Source organism: Homo sapiens, chromosome 18, assembly GCF_000001405.40.
Source record: "Homo sapiens chromosome 18, GRCh38.p14 Primary Assembly".
NCBI lineage: Eukaryota > Metazoa > Chordata > Mammalia > Primates > Hominidae > Homo > Homo sapiens.
The window spans coordinates 74,489,142-74,496,014 of record NC_000018.10 but is presented as its reverse complement, the minus strand read 5'-3'; the positions used below and the strand labels follow the sequence as shown (position 1 = coordinate 74,496,014).

General features: G+C 43.0%; 2 annotated features.

Moving 5' to 3' along the window:
* Window positions 97–366: an enhancer, noted in NCBI's record as "active region_13496". NCBI's record gives its function as "activates an Ori minimal core promoter by ATAC-STARR-seq in GM12878 lymphoblastoid cells {active_cell/tissue: GM12878}" and the evidence as "EXISTENCE:reporter gene assay evidence [ECO:0000049][PMID:35858748]".
* Window positions 2,238–2,287: a silencer, noted in NCBI's record as "silent region_9542". NCBI's record gives its function as "represses an Ori minimal core promoter by ATAC-STARR-seq in GM12878 lymphoblastoid cells {active_cell/tissue: GM12878}" and the evidence as "EXISTENCE:reporter gene assay evidence [ECO:0000049][PMID:35858748]".

Genomic DNA, 6,873 nt, shown 5'->3' with positions numbered 1-6,873 from the left:
TGTCCGGAGCTGTGGGCTTGTGCTGTGCTTCCCGGTTGCTCTTGGGTGGGCGGGGGGCCTGGTGCTTCAACGGTGGGGTCCGAGAAGTCGCCTGCAGTGCGGCAATGGAGTCCAAAACTAGGGGGCCCTGACTCCACCCTCTGATCTCCCAGGCTCCGGAGGTCCCACGACGCTCCCATTCCCTTGCGCATCCAGCACTGCACTTTCCGTTGCGTTTCAGTCCCGGCGGAGTCGGGGCACGGACTCCTGCGGGTCACACAAGCTCCAATGAGAGGTCGGTCTGAACTGGATTAGGAAAGCGTTCGCCAGCATCGTTACCAGTAGTGGAAATATTTTAGTATTTGTGTCCCATGACCCTAGGAACTGATGAAGGAAGCAGAGCCAGCACCGTGTTTGAGCGTCTGCGACAGCGCTTTCCTTTTTAATCTTAACAACAATTCTTGGGGGTAAAATTGTTATTCCCTAGTCTGCTCACTTTTCCAATAGAGTGTTCTCAAAAGACTTTCTTTAAACTTGTACCACTACCACATTCTTTAAGGAGTGATGGCTCGGGAGTTATTATTTTTTAAAAATGAATTTAATAGTTGTAAGAGATGTATACGTTCCCACATAAAGTAAAATGTTAAAATTGTCTCCTCCCTTAAAATTTACATGGTTTGTTTCCTCTTTTTATATTTATTTATTTATTTATTTATTTATTTATTTAGAGACAGAGTCTTGCTCTGTTGCCATGCTGGAATGCAGTAGCCCAGTCTCAGCTCACTGCAAGCTCCGCCTCCCAGGTTCAAGCCATTCTGCCTCAGCCTCCCGAGTAGCTGGGACTGCAGGTGCGCACCACCGCACCCAGCTAATTTTTGTATTTTTAGTAGAGACAGGGTTTCACCATATTGGTCAAGATGGTCTCGATTTCTTGACCTACTGATCCACCCGCCTCAGCCTCCTAAAGTGCTGGGATTACAGGCGTGAGCCACCCCGTCCCCCCCATCCCTGCCTCCTCTTTTATTTTTTATTTCTATTCCACATCCCTCATAGAATTTTGTTAAATGTAACATTTTTATACTTAATAGTCTTACTCATATCCTAATCATTTCTCTACAACAGACTATGATAAAAATTTAAATTAATATTTACTTTGCTATAACCAGATGAGATTAGGCATGTTCAGGGTGGTATGGCCATAGACACTTTGCTATAACCAAAAAGCTTTAAGTATTAACATTTTTTCTTCTGGATTAAATTCTCATAATAATTATTGTACATGAATGATAAAAAGAAAAAACTATATTACACATTTTGCAAACATTGCAAAAAGTAAACATTGGTGGAAGATACATCCTTTAATCATATCTACTGGGCTTTTAAATAAATTCGTTCAGGTATCCATAAATGAGATTATTGCTGAAAAGAGGGTTTGGTTAAAAAAAAAAACAAAACACACACACACACACACACACATATGTATATAGCAAAAAGAAGTGATTTAGAGTAGAAGCCATAACACACTACTGTTACCAAAATTTAATAGGCTCAAGGTAAGAATAAATAATGAGCAAAGAAGTAGTTGAGAACTTTAGAGCAATCAGATGCTTCAGTCCAAGTGAAAACATGAAAATGCATTTGCAGTACTCAGTGTTGAAGAAGTTGGTGAACATGTTTCTCCTATGAATCTGAATAAATGTTAAGAAAATACAAAACACAACATTTACCCTTAATATAGAACCCTGTTACCTGGAAATATGTTAATTGTCATTATTCCCCTGGGAACAATGTTAAGTCAGTACCTGATCAGTGTCCTTGATTAAGGAGTTGTCCTCCAGTGATACCATGTGGCATTTCAAATTGTCCCTTTGTCTGGAGCATGCCAGGCTTCAAGAGTTGATGACATACAGCATCAGGAACAATGCCTGGCACTGAGAAGGTGCCTCATGAGTGTTAATTACTCATCCTTGTGCAGGGACCAGGACTCCTAGGAACAGGAGACCCTGGCTGAGGTCAGCAGGTCAGTTGCACCGCCTACATGCTCTAGGAGAGAGCCTCTGGAAAATTTGAGAAGCTGGAGGTTGATGCCCTTTAGAACTCTCTGAGTCCCTAAGTTTCCTTGTGCCCTCAGTCATCTTTCTCAAGACCACTGCCTTACACAGCTGGTAATGCAAGTAGCTGGTATTGGAGCCTGTGTGCTCAGTTCTGATTTTCCAGCAGGTGGCCCTGCAAGTCCATTGCTTCTTAAAGTGTGCATTGCAGGTGGCTCAGTGGCAACAAACCTGAGCTTAAAGAGCTACATAAATGTGTTCCTATTCCTCTCTGATGATTTTGAGGACAACAGGGACATTATGAGAGAAAACAAAGAAGTATGAGGATGAGTGACCACAGGTTAAGTACTTCAGAAAGAGAAAGGCTGTGACTGTTCTCAGAACTTAGGGAATGCAAACATTGTAAAAGTCACTGTTGATAACAGACCCACTCAAAAAACAAAATTATTTCAAAATAAAAAATTAATTTAATATTATGTGATTATTCTAATAAAAATGCTATGGTACAAGAACAACAACAACAACAACAAAACATTAGATCATGCTTCCAATTGCCGAAATTTGTAGTTCTCAGCATGAGATGGAGTTTAGTCTTCAGAATCTGTCATGTCTGTTTAACCAAACTTTTGTTTTTATTTTTTTTTTTTGAGATGGAGTCTCTGTTGCCCAGGGCTGGAGTGCAGTGGCATGATCTCAGCTCACTGCAACTTCTGCTTCCCAAGTTCAAGTGATTCTCCTGCCTCAGCCTCCCGAGTAGCTGAGATTACGGGCGTGCACTCCCACGTCCAGCTAATTTTTGTATTTTTAGTAGAGACTGGGTTTCACCATGTTGGCCAGACTGGTCTCAAACTCCTGACCTCAAGTGTTTGCCCACCTTGGCGTCCCAAAATGCTGGGATTAGAGGCATGAGCCACAACACCTGACCTGTTTAACCAAACTTAACATACAGACAGTGGGAGCATGCATTCCCCTGGAAAACAGAGAACTTTCCTGGGAACAGAGACCACTTTGGAGAGTATAATTCTTCTCCAGAAACCCATATTCAGGGAAGGAGTTGATATTTATGTTAGAGAATCCCTGCCAAGTAGGAAGGCATAAAGAAGAAAGCAGAGTATAAAGAGGTTAGGAAGGAACAACTACACGTAGACGTCACATTTCGTTAGCTGTAAGCAGTTGGTCAGTTCCAGTCCACTCAATAGTTGGTCTCCAGGAGACTCTCTGGCCCTGTGTTCATTCCCATGGCATCACCCAATCTAATTCTCCAGCTCCAAATGATCATATTTTCTCTGACTGGCATATCCCCCAGGCCCTTCAAATATCAGTATGTCCAAAGCCAAACTTGATTTTTCTCACCTCCTGCCACCCCTATGGTAGGCAGAATTCTAAGACTCCTGGCCCTCCCCTTGGGCACTGGTGGGGCTGACCCAATCAGGTGAGCTCTTTGGAAGAGGGTGCAGAAGTCATAGATGAGAGAAGTCAGAGAGATTTGCAGCTGCAGCAGATGTTCTCCCTCTGGCCTTGAGGAGTGAATGCCACATTGTGGAGGGGGTCAAATGGCAGGGTACGAAGGGCGGCCTCTGGGGGCAAGGGCCTCACTTATGTGAATTCTGCCAACAATCCAAATGAGCTTGAAAGCAGATTCTTCCCCAGTCGAACATCCAGATGAGGACACAGCCTGGCCCACACTTTCAGTAGTCTTGTGAGACCCTGAACAGAGGGTCCAGCTAAGAGTAGCTCAGATTTCTGAGCCACAGAAACAGAGACAAGAAGCAGGTGTTGTTTGAAGCTGCAAAGTCTGTGGTGATTTGTTACAGAGCAATAGAAAACCAATACAATCCCACGATGGCTCTTCATTTAATTTGCAACCTTCCAATCAGTTAGGGACCTTTTGGACTTTACTTCTGAGATGACTTCATTTGCTCCCTCTCTCCATCCTCTTGGCCATTGCTCAGATTTGGGCCTCTCTCTTTGCCCAACTGGACCTCTGCTTGTCAGTGGCTGCCATGGCCCCAGAATAAAATGCAGACATCCTCACATGGCACCTAAGCACATCTTGATCCACCTAGACCCACTTCCATCTACATTTTCTGGACATTTCCCTCTTTATTCTGCAAGCAGAGCCTGAGAAACCTACCAGGAGTAGGAAAATACATGTTTTCTTAGTGGATTTTGCTTGTCCCATATATTTGAATGTGTTTCTTGCACAGATACAATTTTAAACTTAAATATCAGGAATTATTCAGTACCTAAGGGAATCATGAATCAATCTCAATGTACTTCACATTTCACATATCCTTTCTCATCAAAGTACCACCCGTGTGGTCAAACTTGCTACAATTCTTATGATAAACATACCTCACCTTAAACATATTGAATTCAGAATTTTTGAAATTGAGAAATTCAAGAATTGGAAATCTCTGATCTATAACCTTTAACATGGTTCTGAGGCCAGTAAAACTGGTAATTTTTAAGGTTATCTCATTCAGATGATCAGGAAAGTAGACCGTTACCCACTGTAAGTCTTATATCAGTGCATATTTATTATTATTTTGAGACGGAGTCTCACTCTGTCTCACCCAGGCTGGAGCACAGTATGCTCTCAGCTCACTGCAGCCTCCACCTCCTAAGTTCAAGCAATTCTCCTGCCTTGGCCTCCTGAGTAGCTGGGATTACAGGCACGTGCCACCACACCCAGCTAAGTTTTGTATTTTTAGTAGAGACAGGGTTTCACCATGTTGGCCAGGCTGATCTCGAACTCCTGACCTCAGGTGATCCATCCACCTCGGCCTCCCAAAGTGCCGGGATTACAGGCATGAGCCACCGCGCCAAGCCTTTTTTTTTTTTTTTTTTTTTTTGCATACGTATTATTAAGCCCTATGTGTACTTCCCTTTGTTTTGCTATTTCTTTGGTTGCATGCCAAATCTAATTTTCACATCATGGTTTGTGAGCTGATTAACCTGTATAGTTGGAACTCTTATGTCTTGTGTAGCAATTGTAATATGCAGACAGCAAACTCTTAAAGAAACAATAACCACCATATTGCTCGTCTTATAATTTAGAGACTTTTCCCATGTGTGAGTCTGTCATCAGAAAGAACACCAGAGGCTGTCACTGCACACACTCTGAATGTGCCACCGTAACAGAAAATGCAAAAAAGGAAATAAAAGATGGCCGGGCACGGTGGCTCATGCCTGTAATCCCAGCACTTTGGGAGGCCGAGGTGGGCAGATCACGAGGTCAGGAGTTCGAGACCAGCCTGACTAACATGGTGAAACCCTGTCTCTACTGAAAATACAAAAATTAACCAGGCGTGGTGGTGCATGCCTGTAATCCCAGCTACTCAGGAGGCTGAGGGAGGAGAATCTCTTGAACCCAGGAGGCGGAGGTTGCACTGAGCCGAGATCGCACCATTGCACTCCAGCCTGGATGACAAAGCGAGACTCCATCTCGAAAAAAAAAAAAAGAAAAAAAAGAAAAAAAAAGAAAAGCTTTGATTTTACTAATAAAGTAGAAGAATGTTTCCTCTTTTAAAAGTAGCATGGATTATTTAACATGTTTCTTTTTAGTAGTTACATTTTCAGGGAAAGATATTATGTTATTTTATGCTTTTATAAAAGTACAGGACATTTAATGGCTTGGTCTAGAAGGTTATATGTGTGTTTTCTGATTTTTTTTTGTTGTTGTTAACAAGCTGATTTAAAAAAAGCTACTAGGCCAATAAATCTTAGTCCCGACTATGCCTCCAGAACTAACTTTCTTAGTAAATTTTATTGCTTCATGCCATGGATTAAATATTTGTGTATCCCTAAAAGTCATATGTTGAACCCCTAATATCCTATCTGATGGTATTTGGAGGTGGAGACTTTGGGAAGTAATTAGGTTTAGATGAGTTCACCAGGTTGGAGTCCCCACGACGGGATTAGTGTTCTTATAAGAAGAGGAAGAGACTTTCTCTCTCCCTCCCTCCCTCCCTCCCTCCCTACATCCCTTCCTCCCTCTTTCTCTTTCTCTTTCCCCTCCCTCCTCCCTTGTTCCCTCCCTCCTGGTCTCTCTCCCCTCTAACGACACAGTAAGAAGACGGCCATCTGTTAACCAGAAGTGGACCCTCATCAAACATGAAATTTGTCGGCACCTTGATGTCGGACTTCCCAGATTCCAGAACTGTGAGAAAAAAATGCCTGTGGTTTAAGCCCTCCATGGCTGTGGTGTTCGGTTATAGCAGCCTGGGCTGACAAAAACATCTCAGTTTATAATTTCAGCTTCTTGGCTAAACACTTAGTTCTCATATTAACCCTTAAATATCAAAGGATGACGGGAAGTTGCAGTTGTCTAGTCTAAGACCAAGCAGTCAGGAACGTCCTCTGAACACCTCATAGATCAGCTGGGGTTTTGATTTGGCAAAGTTCTCAATAAGAATTTGAAGGCTATATGGTTGCATTCTCATATATTCCTCAAGAACATATAGATTATTATAGGAAGAGCCAACATTCCTGGGAGGGCAATATCACAGACATACTGATTGTCTTTGCATTTTCTCCAGACCCTCTCCTGTCTCCAGTTCGCCAATGGATTTGTCACTTCTGAATGTGCCCAGCTGTTAAAGAGCAAACTCCCGAACCTCCACAAGGTCTTCCTGTGCCTTGCCACTTTCACCAATGGATCTAATTCCGGTCCATCTAATTTCTCCAAAGGGTCCCCAGTCCTCCTCTGAGAGGCCAGCATTTGCCTCCTCCCCTCCACCTTCAAGGTCCTTTAGTTACCCAGGTCCATAGGCTTTCAGGATATCACTTCCTTTCGAATTTAACAGGTCTGACCCAGAACTCACGTCACCTGAGGAACGGT